The following is a 17,843-nucleotide window of genomic DNA, read 5'->3' on the forward strand; positions in this document are numbered from 1 at the left end:
GTGTGAGGAAACAGAGGCCACACAGAGTTTGGAAATCATACTGGGTGAAAGAAACACAGATCAAAGTTTAGGGCTGCCAAAGCTGCTAGGGTTTGGGACCAGGGTACTAATGCTAAGGAGAAGCTGCTAAGAAGAAATTGTGTAAGATTTCTCTTAGTTCAATGCTTAAGCTGCAGGTCTGTGGGTCCTCCAGAAGGACTAGGAGAGGATAACTACTTAGACACATACTGAGTAGAGATTTCAGAGGCCTTGTCAGTTCTGAATAAACATTTGATTTCATTGGTAGTCAGAGAGGTTAGACATAGATAAGCATTTCAGGGTTAGGCGATACCCCCCAAAACCATGCCCAAAAGTAAGAAATTAAGGCTACATTCAAGGAGCAAATCTGAAGACTCACCCTAACATAGACACCACAGAGTAATTAGAAGGAAATTTAACTTTAAGCACATATGCTAGATAAAATTTGAAGGTCAATTTTCTAAGCTTCCATTGCTAAAAGCTATAGAAAATACCATCAAGAAAGAAATAATATAGGGCAATAAATTAATGAAATTTAAAACATATATAATAGAAAAATTCCACAAAGCCAAAAATATGTTTTTCATAAAGACTATTAGAATCAATAAATATTTAGCAATACAGAGCAAGAAATAAAATGGAGGAAACACAAATTATAAATGCCTAAAAAGAACAAGGGAGATAACTACAGATCACAAGACATTCTTTTAATGACAGAATATTATGAATTACTTTATACCAATACATTTTTAAATCTATATTTAAAAATGGTTGAAAAACACAATGTACTGTAATGGACAAAACAAGAGGTAGAAAATTAAATAGTCCTATATTTGTTTATTAAAATGAACACATAATTCAAAACTTTCCCACAAAGAACACTCTAGTTGCATAGGACTTTAATGTTAAATTATTATGAAAATTTTAGGAAGAAAACAATAGCAATATTAAAAACTGTTTAACAAAATTATTTGTTTCTTTATCAAGGGAATGTATATATAAAAATCCATTGAGATTAATACTTAAGATATGTGGATTTTACTGTTATTTCTTAATTTTAAACAAAGTAAAACAACTTCACTGTCCACATGAGTGAATAGTACTATAGTGATTTTCTATTGCTATGGAAAAAAATACCGCAAATTTAGTCGCTTAAAGCAAGACCAAGACACATTTGTGATATCACAGTTGTGGGTGAGGAGTCTCGACACATCTGTGATATCGCAGTTGTGGGTAAGGAGACTGGACACATCTGTGATATCACAGTTGTGGGTAGGGAGTCTCGACACATCTGTGATATCGCAGTTGTGGGTAGGGAGTCTCGACACATCTGTGATATCGCAGTTGTGGGTAGGGAGTCTCGACACATCTGTGATATCGCAGGTGTGGGTAGGGAGTCTCGACACATCAGTGATACTGCAGTTGTGGGTAGGGAGTCTCGACATATCTGTGATATTGCAGTTGTGGGTAGGGAGTCTCGACACATCTGTGATATCGCAGTTGTGGGTAAGAAGTCTGGACACATCTGTGATATCGCAGTTGTGGGTGAGGAGTCTATAGGCACATCTGCTTGGGTTTTCTTACGGTCTTTCTTACGGTCTTATCAAGGCTGCAATCAAGGTGTCAGGCAAAGCTGGGTTCTCATGCAGAGGCTGAACTAAGGAAAGATATGCTTTCAAGCTCCCTTAGATTTTTGGCAGAACTCATTCTCTTACAGTTATAGAATTCATGAATCCTTCCTTCTTCAACGCCTGGAATTGAGAAGAAGATTGCACCAAGATCAGCTCTACACTCTTATTTATTCAAGTACTTGTAATCACAACAAACCTATCTACCTATCCCTTTCATTTGATGTTTCGTTGGTCAGAATCAAGTAACAGATCCCACAAAAGCCTCAACACCATGAGGCAGGGTTTACAGGGCCACCTTAAAGTATGAGTGCCAAAATGATGTACATTCAGTTTATATCCTTAAAAAAAAATGACAGAGACTATATACGCTTATGTAAAAAAATGCCTTCCAACCATGTTTGATATACATTTGAGATAACAGCAGTCTCCAACATTTATGAAGCACTTCTTCTAAAATTGTCGGTAAATAAAACATGTCAATGCTATAAGGGACTACTCTTAAGAATACCAGTTCTATTATCATTGGTTTAAAAAGCTCCTGGCTTATTTGAAAAAATGAGTACTTACTTTTAAGTGGTTTTATATCTCAGTGTCCTGAAAGTGGTATTTCTCAGCACATTAGGAGTATGTGATAATTCACCAGGACTTCCATGGTATAAGGACATTGACAAAGGAGCAACAAATGAAGTTAAGGAATCCTATAGTGAGAAAAATTTTAATACATTAAGGAAAATTAAGCCCCTTTGTCAACCCTCTCAGCAGAATAGAACTGAATTTTTCCATACTCATGTTGAATTGGAAACTCCAGTGTTGGAGGAGGGGTCTAGAGGGAGGTGATTGGATCATGGTTTAATGCAGATGACAGGTTGATGGGTGCAGCAAACCACCATGGCTCATGTATACCTGTGTAACAAACCTGCACTTTCTGCACATGTATCCCATAACTTAAAATATAATTAAAAAAAAAACCTGCCCATAACTCTGCTGGTTGTCTTTTCATTAAATCCTTCTTAAAATACAAAAACAAACAAACAAAAATGGTTTGACAACATCCCCCTGGTGCTGTCTTATGATAGAGTTCCCCTGATGCCTGCTTGTTTAAAAGTGTGTGGCACCGCCCACTCCTCTCTCTCCTGCCATGTAGACAAGCTTGCTTCCCCTTTGCCTTCCACCATGATTGTAAATTTCATAAGACCTCCCCAGCCATGATTCCTGTACAGCCCACAGAACCATAAGCTAATTAAAACTCTTTTCTTATAAATTACCCAGTCTCAGGTAGTTCTTTATAGCAGTGCAAGAACAAATTAATACAAAAAATTGGTGCCAGAGAAGCGGGGCATTGCTATAAAGATACGTGAAAATGTGGAAGCAACCTTGGAATTGGGTAACAGGCAGAGGGTGGGGCAGTTTGGAGGGCTCAGAAGAAGACAGGCCGATGAGGGAAAGTTTAAAACTTTCTAGATATTTGTTAAACAGTTGTGACCAAAATGCTGATACTGATATAAACAATCAACTCCAGGCTGAGGTGGTCTGAGATGAAGACGAGTAACTTCTTGGAAACTGGAGTAAGGTCACTCTTGCTATGCTTTAACAAAGAGACTGGCAGCATTGTGCCCCTTCTCTAGGGATCTGTGGAACTTTTGGACTTGAGGGAGATGATTTAGTATATCTCGTGGAATAAATTTCCACAAATTTTTTGAATTTCAAATTGAATGCTAAGCACCAAAATATTCGAGATGTTGTCTGGGAGCTTCTAACAACAGACACTCATATGCATGCACAAAGAGATTATCTGAAACTGAATCTTACATTTAGAAGGGAAGCAGAGCATAAATGTTTGGAAACTTTGCAGCCTGACCATGTGGTACAAAAGAAAAACCTATTTTCTGTGGAACAATTCAACCTGGCTGCAGAAATTTGCATAAGTAAAAAGGAGCCCAATGTTAATAGCCAAGACAATGGGAAAAATGCCTCCAAGACATTTCAGAAACCTTTACAGCAGCCCTTCTCATTACAGACCTGGTGGCCTAGGAGGGAAGGATGATGTTATGAGCAATGCCCAGGGCCCTGCTGCTCTGTGCAGCCTCGGGACTTGATGCCTGCATTGTGGCCACTTCAGCTCTAGCCACAGCTAAAATGGGCCAACGCACAGCTTAAGCTGTTGCTTCAGAGGGAGCAAACCCCAAGCCAAGGCTTGGCAGCTTCCACATATTGTTAAGTCTGTGGATGCACAGAGGGCAACAGTTGAAGCTTGGGAGACTGCACCTAGATTTCAGAGGATGCATGGAAACACCTGGGATTTCCAGGCAGAAGTCTGCTGCAGGGTCAGAGCCCTCATGGAGAAGCTCTACTAGGGCAGCATGGAGGGGAAATGTGGGGTTGGAACCCTCACACAGAGTGCCCCTGGGGAATGGCCTCGTGCAGCTGTGAGAAGAAGGCCACCGTCCAGACCCCAGAAAGGTAGATCCACCAGCAGCTTGCACTGTGCACTGGAAGAGCCACAGGCATTCAATGCCAGTCTGTGAAAGCAGCCATGAGAGCTGTACCCTGCAGAGCCACAAGGTTGGAGCTGCCCAAGTCCATGGGAGCTCATCCTTTGCATGAGTGTGGCCTGGATGTAAGACATGGAGTCAAGTGAGATTATTGTGGAGCTTTAAGATTTAATAACTGCTCTGCTGGATTTTGGATATGCATGGGGCCTGTAGCTCCTTTGTTTTGGCCAAGTTCTTCCTTTGAAATGGGAGCATTTACCCAATGCCTGTCCCCGCATTGTATCTGGAAGTAACTAACTTGCTTTATATTTTACAGGCTAAAATGTGGAAAAGACTTGCCTTGTCTCAGGTAAGACTTGCCTTGTCTCAGGTGAGACTTTTGACTGTGGACTTTTGAGTTAACGCTGAAATGAGTTAAGACTTTCAAGAACTATTTAGAAGGGATGATTGTATTTTGCAATGTGAGAAAGACAAGAGATTTCGGAGGGGCCAGGAGTAGAATGATATGGTTTGGCTCTGTGTCCCCACCCAAATCTCATGTCAAATTGTAATCCCCATTGTTAGAGAAGGGGCCTGGTAGGAGGTGATTGGATAATGAGGGCAGTTTCTAATGGTTTAGCACCATCCCCCTGGTGCTGTCTTGTGATAGAGTTCTCCTGAGACTTGCTTGCTTAAAAGTGTGTATCACTTCCCACTCCTCTCTCTTCCTCCTGCTCCCGCCACGTAGACATGCTTGCTCCTCTTTTGCCTTCCACCATGATTGTAAGTTTCCTAAGACCTTACCAGCCATGCTTCCTGTACAACCCACAGAATTGTGAGCTGATTAAACCTCTTTTCTTATGAATTATCCAGTCTCAGGTAGTTCTTTATAGCTGTTCAAGAATGGACCAATACAATCACCTTATACTTCTCAAGGTTCTCTTCCTGCTTCACTCTTGTTTCAATCTCTTATGCTGGTTATTTCTTTTTTTCCACAGCCTACATGTGGATCTTTTGTGAAATTGTTTGTAGCACTTTTTTCTTTCACAATACACTGTACATTTGACCTTGGCAGTTTTATTCATGCCTACTGCATAATTTTGCTCTGAAATAACTTTCAATTTTAAATTATCTTCTTCCCCACTGCTTCTGTCTAAATATATATCCTTGTCTTCATATGCATGGAGTATTGCTTCCTGATTCCAAGCTTTCTCTCCCTCACTCACCCCTAGATTTGCCATTAAAGTGATTTTGCCACAACATAAATATAAAGACATCATTACTCTGCTTCACACCAATTAGTGGTTTCCCATTCATTATAGGATGAAGTCGAACTTCCTCAGCAAGGCAGAAAACACCCTTTATAAGCTGGTAAGTTCTTACAACTTCAGTCTCACCTCCCACAGTTTTTTCCTTCTAGATTCTTAATCCAACAATATTGAATTATTTTTGAGTTATCCATGCCTGTAGAGCCGCTGTAAGAATGGAACACAGGGACAGTATGTACTGGTGGAAATGTTTTTCCTTCCCTATTTGGCATACGTTTATTCATTCTTTGAAACTTTGTTCACATGGCACCTCTTCTAGAAAGTCTTTCATTTCTCTCTAAATACACAATATAATGATTACCCTCTTCTCATTACTAATTCTACATCTTGTATATATCAATCATTGGATATCCTAATACTTATTTTTAACAATCTGTTTACAAGTGTGTTTGCTACAAGTATTGAGGGAAAATACTATATATTTCATCATTATGTCTTCAGCCCATAACAGAGTGCCGGGAACAGAATCATGCATAAGAATTGGTTTATATATAGGATATAGAAACTGATTAATGCATTTCCATAAATGGGGTTGAAATTAACAGCAGTTTTTCAATGTGAAATTCATTCTTATTAACAAATTGAAAGTGTATTCTTTTAAAATTTGAAGGCTTGAGAAGAAAAATTACAAAGTCTGATAAAGATGATATGTTAGTAGTTTTACCCCTCATTAAAAAAAATCAAGTTTCCATGGGGTATAAAAATACTTCTAAGAAGCATAAACCTTCTATACTCTGGAATGTAGTGAGCTGGTTTCCACCCACTAATCAACAGCAATACAGTAAATGGTATGTCAGCACTTTTGTAATGAGGCAGCTGTTCGTAAATAGTTACAACGTGATTATATTAATTCACATTGGAAAAAAATGTTGAAAACATCCATACTAAGGAAACTGGCTATTATTAACCCACAACGTAACATTAAATTAAGTATTTGCATGCACATAAACACCTTTACACACAATTTGAATACCAATATCTACATTAATTTTCTTTTCTAGATATAGGATGTGGTTAGATTAAAGCACTTCTGCTGCAAATAATTGCTGTCTCTTACAATTTCTCAATTCATATGCCTGTGCAGTTAAAGAGCAATGGCCTAAAATGTATTCTAAAAGGAAAATAAAAGACTCCCCCTACTCCCCTACTCACCCAAGTGAAGACTTGTAGAATGGTCTGTGATTAAAATAATTGTCATGTTCTATAACCTTACCCTCAGCTTTTATAGTCCAGCATTTCAATTTTATAATTATATCCATTTCTACTAAGTTCTCAGGTGTTGAATCAGGGCAATCAAAACTACCAAAGAACAGTGTATAAATAAAAATGTAAATTTATTGCTGAATACATTTTCTAGTACTTTGAGTTCTCTTTCCTTCTTCTCAGGACATTGCCTTCCTGAGCCATGTGCCTGGAATGCTCAGTTAGAAGTCACAGGTTTCCTTGGTAGGTTCCTTTCTGACCTCTACAGCAGACAGAAGATACCAACCGAAAGTAAACAAATAACAAACTCTGAAGCCACATTCTCCTAGCTATGAAAATTAAGCTGTGCTTCTGTCTCCCACTCTCTACTTCATACTTTGTCTTTTGCTTTCCTCTGTCCTGAAATCATCTCTCTCAGCCTGGCTCTATGATCATGATGCTTCTCTGAGGTAGTCATGCAGTGTCCTTCAGAAGTCCTGATGGTGCCACACACAGCAGTTTGCCTGAAATTAATCCCCACCACCCACCCACCACCCCCACACTTGTCCCTGACATTTTAGAAACTTTCTCCTACCAGCAAGCACTAACCTGCCTTTCTTGTCTAGGAGCAGCTAAAAGGAGACAGACTATAGGTTAAAGAATCAGAATTGTTCACCAACTATGTAAAAGATTTATAACCTTTTCTGCTTAAAGTATTATACAAATCTCTAACTATTAATATACATATGCCCCTGAGAGCTAAGATCTCTTTCCTCAAAGTTTGTTGAATTTCTAATTTTAAGTCCTCCTCTTTTTCATTAAAGATTCCACAGGCTATCTCCCTTCTCTTAATAAATCCTCTCTCTGCTAAGCTACAACACAGTTGAGACCTTTCAACTCACTGATCAAAAACAAGTATTTCTAAGTCCTGGTTTCCCAAAATGTATAGTCTAATCTTCTTAATTATATAAATTTTTCACACTTTTTAGCCTCATAATAATTTCTTCCCACCTCAGGGGCTAATCTCATCCATGTCATGTTTTTCTAATTTCCTGATAAATTTTCCCATATAGGAAAAATGAAGACTGGCATGCTGTGCCTAGACTGGAATAATAGTCTTGGAGATTTGGCAGAGCCCTGAATGTCTTATGAGCAGGGTTTATCACAGAGTGTGAGTGAGGGAAAGATCTGGAAAGAAAGTGAAATAATAAATTGAGCCAATTCTCCAAATATAGCATTAATTGAAAAATGTAAGGAAAGGAAAAAACAAGTGTGATTTAGCAAATAGAAGCAAAATTAATTGTATGAAAGTAGAGGTTTGAAGTATCCTGGAGTTAAGTCTCTGGGTTAAGTCTCTGGCATACATTCTATATTTTTATTTCATTTGGAAAATAAGGAATATTAATATTCAGAGTTCACATAGTGAGTTTGTTTTGGCTTGACTATCAAAGTTAATTTTCTAGCAATCAGCATTACCTAGCCAGAAATTTGTTTTAAAATATTAATTTGTCTTTCTAAAAAAAGAGTTGAGGATCCCTATAACATCTTATTAGGAGATTACTATTTTGATTATGGATTATGGCATAACTCAACATTTTTCCATGCTGAGAAAGACTGGGATCCATACAACCAAGCCATAAACCCAAATATTCAACTCTAAGTTATACTCAAGAGAAATGTGTGCATATGGGGAACAGTCTTTATAAGAGAATTTTGTCGTGGACTATAATCATTTTTTATTCTAAGGCCCAGATTGAAGAACTGTTAAGAAGAAAACCAGATAACAAGTATCATTTATGTTTTTACTTTTTAATTTCGACATTGAATAATGAAGGCAATTTTTGTTTTTAAGGATGCATTATTGAAAATACATAATTTATTAAAATGTACAGGAAGGTTAGGGATTACTGGAATAGGCAATCTACGAAGCATAGGCTAAATCCATTTCCAAATATCTTCCTCAGGAGATCTAACAATATGTTTTGGCTTTACTATTTACTAAATTTCCTAAATATACTCATTATCTTATAAAATGGGTATTCAACTCTATTTTCCTTATCTCCTACATTTTCTAGATGACTGAGTGAACTTATTTATTCACATTGCCTTAGTAGCATTCATTCCATGGGATGAGTGGGTTAACTCATATATATAAACCAATGCTATTTAGTTTACATTAACACAGATTTTTGTTGACAGTATATTAGATATTAGTTTTGAATAATAGACAAATACATAGTGACCCATTTTGTAATGATTGATTATTTTACTGTGTGTTTTTTAACATAAAAAGTGTATAAAAATCTATAAAATCATTTTTAGTACACAGAAAATATATTCATAATTTAATCTTTTCAGGTAAATACTAAAAATATTATCATCATACTCTCCATTTAAATTCCTGATAAAATGAAATTGGCTTAAGATAAATAGATACATATTATAAAACTTTTGGAAATAATTATCCCATTCTTATGAATTTAGATCCTATATTTTCTAAGTACAGAGATATGATTGCTTATCTTTGAGGCAGAAAGAAATTTTAAAAAATACTTCCAGATACAGATGGAACATGTTATAGCAAAACTACCAGACAAAATGTATAATATATAACATTTTGAAAGAGAAATACAGTGCATAATGATAGACTAAAAATAAACAAACAACCATAACTGACCTTTAAGGACCAGAAAAAGAATAGAAATGGGCCAAGAAAAAGGCTGAAAACTCAGTTGAAAAGTGTGCAAAAGACGTCAACAGGCACTTCAAAAAAGAGAATATTCAAGTGCCCAATAGCACACAACAATGTGCTCAATTTCACTAATTATCAGGGAAATGCAAATACAATGCTCCATAAAAGACCACTATACACATGCACCAGAAAAGAGTCATGAAAGGATGAAAAATACTGAGTTGGTGAGAATATTGACCAAGTCATGCACTGCTGGTAGGATGTAAATTGGTGAACCCATTTGAAAAATGGTCTAGCAAAATCTACTAAAACTGAATATATGTATACATTGTGGCACAAATATTCAACTCTAAGTTATACTCAAGAGAAACATGTGCATATGTTTATCAAAAGACATCTACTAGAGTACATAGTATAAATATATCCATAATAGACAAAACTTAAATACAACAATAGAAGAGACAGTTTATGATGTATTTGCCCAATGGTATACTATACAGAAATGAGAATGAGCAATCTATGACTGCATGGAACAACATGAAATGAGTCTAACAAACATAATCTCAAATGAAAAACACACAAAAGAAGGTATAATGTATTTTTTTCATTGGTAGTAGGCCAAAAATAGACAAAACTAGGTTATGTTGTTAAAATTACGTTGAACTTTATCCTTGGTCAGGACTGGTGAGGAGAGAGCATTAAGCCTAGAATAGGACACAAGACAAGCGTCTGGGATGCTGGTACTGATCAATTACTTGGTCAGCATATTTGGTTACATGATTGTGTTCTGTTTATGAAAATTCATCATATATTTACTTATAACCCATGATGTTGTACAATAAACATTAATCAACAAGTTAAAATACGTAGTCATACACTGCACAATGACATTTTTGTCAACGATGGAACACATATAGAATGGTGAGCTCTTAAGATTATAATTGAGCTGAAAAATTTCTCTTGGCAAGAGATTTTATAGTGGTGGTAATGTTATAATGTAATATATTTCCTTTTCTATGTTTAGATATGTTTAGATACATAAATACTTACTGTTGTGTTGCAATTTCCTACAGTATTAAGTACAGTCACATTCTATACAGGCTTATAGCCTAAGAGCAATTATAGCCTAGGTTTATAGTAGGCTATACTATCTAGGTGTGTCTAAGTAAACACACAATGACAAAATTACCTGACAACACATTGCTCAGAATGTTTTCCCCACCAACCACCCACCCACCCCCTCCCCAGTTAAGCATTAATGTATTTGTTTGCTAGGGCTTTCTTAACAAAGTATCAAAATAGGTAGCTTAAACAACAGAAATTTATTTTCTGACAGTTATGGAGGCTAGCCGTGTGAGATCAAGATGTCCACAGGGTTGATTTCTTCTGAGGCCGCTTTCCTGGGATTGTGAATAGCAGTCTTCTCCCTGTTTCTTCACATGGTCTTTCTTCCATGTATGTCTGTGTTCTAATCTCTTCTCACAAGGACACAGTCTTATTGGATTAGGGTCCAACCTAATGAGCTCATTTAACTTTTGTTAATTCCATTATTTTATTTTAATTTTTAAATTATATAGACACATAGTAGGTGTATATATTTATGGGTTACATGAGATATCTTGATACAGATATGCAATGAGTAGTAGTCACATCAGGGTAATTGGGGTATCCATCACCTCGAGCATTTATACTTTGTGTTATAAATAATCCAGTTATACTCTTTTAGTTATTTTAAAATGTACAATTAAATTATTTTTTACTATAGTCACTCTGCTGTGCTAGCAAATACTAGTTGGTGTTCATTCTTTTTATTTTTTTGTACCCATGAACCATCCCCACTTCCGCTCACTCCCCCTGCCACTACCCTTCCCACCTTCCCAGTCTTTGGTTGGTAACCACCCTTCTACTCTTTATCTTTGTGACCTCTTTAAGGACCCTGTCTCCAAGTATAGTTACATTTTGAAGTACTGGGGATAGGACATCCACAAATGAATTTCAAGGCAGCAAAATGCAACTAATAATTATATAATAAGAAAAATATAAGAAAGACAATAATGAAGACAAATGAAAAGGTTTAAAATTTATTAGAAAATTTAGAAATTATTTTTAACAATTACAACCAAAACTAATTATTTTGGAAAACTTGAAAGACGAACTTTTAGCAAAACCAATAAAAGAAAACGGAGAAAATAAACCAATAAGGCAGAGAAAAGGAGAACACAGGTAGATAAATGGCAAAGACTTTAAAGATACTATTAGCAACAGTTTTTCAATACCTTTGTTACTTTAGATGAATAGACAATTTTCTTGAAAAAAGCAACACAAGGAACAGTTGTTGCAACTAGCAAACATGGTAAAACCCTAAGGTGAAATAATTAGTATTATGATAAATAATTAGTGTGATGAGTGTTACATGAGTAATTTATTACACTACCTTCTGATGTTGAAATTCAGTGAAGGCAACCTAACTTTTTCTAGAGGTTTGAACCAAATTTACATCATGCTCTTTACTTACAAAACCATAACAATATTTAAAGTAGACAGATAAGCTATAAATATAAATTTAATATGTTATTCGATCAACATTTTTGTTTTGATCTCTTGACCAAGCAGGAAAGGTGTTCACCTTTGGAAAAGTGCGTGAGGCTGCCAGTGAATTTGCCCTCACATTACAATTCTCCCTTTCCAGCTATGCCTACCACATAGTAGCCATTTCTTAGTGGATGCCAAGGAAAAATTCAGAGGCACTTAATGTGTACAAAGTACTTTACATAAATGGGTGTGCAATCACTTTAATTAACTGAACATTTTAAGGTCTGTACTGTAAATAGCACAACTCAGAGCAATTGTAACTATTTTTATGCTGGCTATTTATTTTTACAGTTGGTTGATTAAAACCTTCTGCTAGAGATAGCTTTGAACTAGCCATGAGAATTCCTTTCTGGACTTAAAATGGGAAAGAACATCTGAACATAAGCCTTAAATTTATACTTATTCTTCAAGGTCTATATGTACATGCTTGGTACCAGATATTTTGCCGTGTTTTTTTTTCTTCTCAAATCTCATTAATTATGGTTATTGTTCTTTGTTTCAATAAATTGCTTATTATAAAATATAATACATCAAAGTGAATAATTTCCAAATTTTTAATCCAAATATTTTTCTTGACTCATGAACTGAATTGGAACATACTTTAAAAGAAGGCCCTATTTAAATTTCCCTTCCCTCCATTCTTCTCTCCATTCTTCTTTAATTCCTTTTCTTTCTTCCAGAATAACTTTGAAACATTCTCAGTAAAACTAATATTCAAGCATAACCTTGAAATTTAAAAAGCAAAATATCAGCTAATTAAATTTGTGTCCACTTGTCTCTTGCTCTTACTCAGATAGTTATCATTTAATTATGGTTAAAGAAAAATAACATAAAACTCTCTTAGACATTTATAAGTGTACAGTTCAGTGGCATTAACTACATTCACTATCTTACGCAACAAATATCTAGAACTTTTTCATCTTATCAAATTGAAACTCTATTCATTGAACAATAAACCTACATTTTTCTCTCTCCCTGGCCTCTGGCAACCACCCTTCTACTTTCTCTATCTATTACTTGGGTTACTTTAAATATCTTATAAAAGTAGAAGCATACAGTATTTAACATCCTATGACTGGTTTATTTCATTTAGCATAATGTCCTCAAGGTTCATTCGTGTTGTATTATGTGTCAGGATTTTCTTTTGTAGAGCTGAATAAATATTATATTAAATGTATATACACACAATTGCATATTTAGGTTCACAAAAAGTTGAGCAGAAGGTACAGAAATTCCCGTATGAACAACTTGGAGTCTGATGTTTGAGGGAAGGAAGCATCCAGCACAGGAGAAAGATGATGGCCAGAGGACTCAGCAAGTCTGCTTTTTCATATTCTCCTGCCTGCTTTGGTCAGTGTTCTGGATTTTGGTCATCTAATATATATGTAGTGGTATCTTGTTTTAATTTTCATTTCCCTGATAGCATGTGATGTGCAACTACTTATCACATGCTCATCTGTCATCTGTATGTCTTTTTTGTGGGGGGTCTGTTGAGGTCTCTGGCTCATTTTTAAATTGGATTATTTGTTTTCTTATTATTGAGTTTTAAGAGTTCTTTGCATATTTTGTATGATTATATTTCTTTGCTGTTGAGTTGTAGGAGTTCTTTATATATTCTGCATAGTGACCCCTTATCAGATACATGATTTGCAAATATTCTCTCCCATTCTGTAGGTTTTCACTCTGTTGATTGTCTCCTTTGCTATTAGTATATTTTCTAAGTTTGATTTAATCCTGTTTGTCTGTTTTTATTGCCTGTGCTTTGAATGTAGTATCAAAGAAATAATTGCCAAATTCAATGTCATAAATCTTTTCCCCTATTTTATTCTAGATGTTTTATAGTTTTAGGTCTTAAATATGATCTTAATCTATTTTGTGGTAATTTTTGTGTATGATGTAAAGTAAGAATCCAATCGTTTTTTTCTGCATATGGATATCCAATTTTCTTAAAATTATTTAAGAGAATCCAATCTTTTTCTTTTGCATATGGATATCCAATTTTCTCAAAAATATTTGTTTAAGAGGTTGTCCTTTTCCATTGTGTGATCTTGGCATTCTTATTGGAGATTATTTGACCATTTATGCAATGGTTTATTTCTGGAATCTGTTATATTCCAGTGGTCTATATGTCTATCTTTATGCCACTACCTTACTATATCAGTATGCTATGACAGTATATACAATACTTGTTTATTATAGCTTTGTAATGTGTTTTGAAATCTGGAATATGTGTATGGCCCTCAAGTTTATTCTTCTTTTTCAAGATTGTTTTGAATATTATGTATCTTTTGAGATTCCATATTAATTATAGTGCTATTTTTCTATTTCTGCAAGCAATGCTACTGGAATTTTGATAGGGATTACACTGGATTTGCTTTGAGAAATATGGACATTTAAATAATATTGCCTCCCAATCCATAAATGTGGGATGCCTTGTCACTTATTTGTGTCTTTAATTTCATTCGGCAATATTTTATAGTTTCCTTTCTTTCTTTCTTTTTTTGGTAAGGGGAGGGGTGGGGGAGGGTAGATATTTTATAGTTTTCAATGTTCAAGTCTTTCACCTCCTTGATTAAGTTTATTATTAAGTTTATTATTTCATTGTTTTTGAGGCTATTGTAAATAAGATTCTTTCTTAATTTCCCTTTCAGATTGTTCATTGTATATAACAAAGCAACTTATTTTTGTTTGTTGATTTTATATCCTGTAACATTTCTGAATTCATTTATTAGTTATATAATTTTTTGTGAAAGGATTTCTGTTTCTTCACTCACAGAAATAATTTGTCTCTCACAGTTACTGCTCAAAGACTGATTATAGGCCACCCACTCAATTGGCTTTTCCTCCAATATACTGAATTGTAATACTTCATTTGCATGGCCTATATAATAGAAAATCATATTTTTTGTATTTAATCTCCTGCTTTCAGGTAATGTGGACACCTTTTTGTGTGTGACCTTCTTAATCAGAGAAAGTAATGCAAAGTACTGAAACTGAAAGCTTAGGTTAATTCGAGACTGAAGCCCGGTATAATTCACTGATCATTGTAAAACTCTGCGTAGGAAATGTAACTGGGATGTCTCTTTCTGTAAATAGATTAGGGAACAAATGGCAAATTATTCGCCATATCACTAATGCTCTTTTCAGTCAAGGCTTCAAGGCTTATCCCTGCTGGTCTACCGATTCTCTTGTGGTTACTTGGGTCCAGGAAGAAAAGGTGTTCAATTGTGTTTGAGTCTATCTTATGAACAGCTTATTGCTGAGTCTGCACAAGTATAATAGAGAACTGGTCACTATATGCAACATTTAAAACACAGTGTGTGGCATAAATCACATGCTTCAGTAGCTACTGTGGATGCTTAGTTAAAATCTTATCTATTTTGTAGCAATGTTTTAAGCTAAGATATTCCAGTTCCAAGCATTTGCTTAGAAAAGAAAGTCCTTGTGAAATTGTTAAAGAGCCTTTGGGTAAAAATTCTTTGATTTCTATCTTCTAGTCATTTCTACATCATTGTCAGCTTCCTTAAAAGTGACACTCTCAAGATGAGATCAAAAGACTCACAAGGCAAGTGATGAGGAAGAAATATAAACTGAAATAGATAAGCCACCCTTCCTTCATGCTTAAATAAAACTCTTCTTGTAAGACAAGGTTATGTTTCAATGGCAGTGGTAGAAAAACAAAGACGCCAGGAGCAGAAGGCTAAATCAGGACCATTTTCACAATCAGCTGTCACATAGGCCTCCACATACTTTTCTCTCTCTTTCCCTCCCTCCTGTCACAAGGATAGGGGCAAACCCACTGCTCCCATGTTCTTCCTTTCCTTTGTTCCTTGGTTCCTTGGTTCCTTCCTTCCTTCCTTTCTTCCCTTCCTTCCTTCCTTTCTTCTTCTTTTTTTCTCCCTCTTTATTTCTTTATTCTCTTTCTTTCTACCCTTCTACCTTTCCCCGGCACTGACCTTGATTAGAGCCTTCTTTACTGCTATGATTTCGATTTTTCTTGTTTGTCCCCACCAATATTAAACTTCTTATGTTGAAATTTAAACCCTAGTGTGATGGTGTTGGGAAGTGGATCCTAGTGGGAAGTGTGTGACTCGTGGGGATGGATTTTTCATTAATGGCTTGTTGCTATTATCATAGTAGTGAGTTCTTGCTCTTCCAAGAATAGACTGGTTCTCAGGGCAATGGGTTGGTTCCCCACAAAGTGGACTGTTATAAAGCCAGGACACCCCTCAGATTTGGCCCCTCTTTACATATGCCCACTTCCCTTTGACTTTCTCCACTATGTTTTGATGCAGACGAAAACCTTCGCCAGAAGCCAAGCAAATACCAGTACCATGCCTGGAAAACTGTGATCCAAATAAACCCCTTTTCTTTACAAATTACCCAACCTTAGGTATTATTTTATAGCAATATAAAATAGACAAAAACACTAACTTATCATGATTCTTAAATCTGAATCTCCCCAAGAAGTTATTGGAGAGTGGGCAGATGGGTGAACCATCAATCCTGTACTCGCAGAAGAGCTCTGGATGTGTGGACCTTTCCAGAACTCTGCATAATTATGAGGTAGTGGCTCAGCTAAAACAGATAAAAGGTCTTTGACTCTTTGCTAATATGACAAGACAGAAATGTTAGCACATCAATGTTTTAGCTTGCATTTATTTTGTTACTAATGAAAGTCTGCATTTTTGAATGTTTAGAATTGACTCGTTGCTCCTCTGCTGTGAGTTGCTAATGTTCTTTGCCATTTTTTTTCCTATTGGATATTGGGTCACCATTGTGAACTTCTCAAATATTAAAAATAATTCTCAGCTGTCACATCTCTGGTAGACTACTAGTTCTTAAACAATGAATTAGCACAAGTTTCTAATAGCATATTGATAATCACATTAACTGAGTGACCAATGAATGAAATCTTTTTCTTCACCATTGTTATTATTTTAATATTCATTGCAATAAAAAATTCCGTATTTGGTTTTTTTAATTAAAAAATGTTGTGGTATGAATGAAAAAGAAAAAAAAATGGTAATCTGGAGGTATAGCCATAGGGTATAAAAAGAAAAAAAGAGAAAGGAAAAAAGTAGTAGAAAAATTATCAGTTGATTTACCAGCTACATTTCAGAAAATAACATGCCCTTGGATTGGATAATCTTAGAGGACCACAAAATATAATTATACATGATCTATTAGAGTATTATCTATTACCCAATTATGCTGTCTTCTGTCTCCAAACTCCCCTGGAAATTTTAATTTTATAAGATCACTAGGTACAAAAATTACAATCTTTTAATATTGACTGAAACTTTTAGTCTATTATTAACTTTTATCCCTGAAAGTCTCCCAATTGTTTGTCTAAACCTTCTTAATTGTAATTTGAACTCCATTTCCTTAGTTATATCTTTAGTAAAGAGAAAGATGACTACTGGTGTCCTTCAACCTATAAAAACAGCAAGCAATAAATAAAACAAGCTTCATGTGTTTTACTATTCCCTTAGACTTCATTTTTTCTAGACTTGGTCCTGTGGTTGTTCTCTTACTCTCCTACTTTTTAATCCACTCACTACATTCAATTGTTTGGAGGTTTTTAAAACTTTTATTCTTAAATAAATATAAATAAAAATATAGTCTAGAGAGGTTCTAAGTATATAAGTTTCACTCAATTTCCTCCAATAACAACACCTTACATAATTATAGTAACAATTTCAAAATCAGGAAAGTGACATTAGTACAATACTTGTGAATAGTTCTATGTCATTATTTTTCATATGTATAGACTAATCAATACTGGAAACAAGATACAAAACTATCCTTTCAGCATAAAGATCTCCCTTGAGTTACTTCTGGACTGCCACACTAACCACCTTTTCCCCACCATCCCTAACCCTCATCAACCACCCAACCATTCTCCATCTCTGTAACTGTAATTTTC

The 17,843-nt window shown here is 35.3% G+C and overlaps 1 long non-coding RNA gene across 1 annotated transcript; it reads right to left on the reverse strand.

Moving 5' to 3' along the window:
* Positions 1-840: 840 nt before the first annotated feature.
* Positions 841-2,347, reverse strand: LOC105379101 (uncharacterized). Its single transcript, XR_948627.2, has 2 exons — positions 2,217-2,347; positions 841-1,769 (listed from the first exon to the last, which is right to left on the reverse strand). It is a non-coding gene; the product is annotated as an uncharacterized LOC105379101 (long non-coding RNA).
* Positions 2,348-17,843: the final 15,496 nt, after the last annotated feature.

Source organism: Homo sapiens, chromosome 5 (assembly GCF_000001405.40).
Source record: "Homo sapiens chromosome 5, GRCh38.p14 Primary Assembly".
Taxonomy (NCBI): domain Eukaryota; kingdom Metazoa; phylum Chordata; class Mammalia; order Primates; family Hominidae; genus Homo; species Homo sapiens.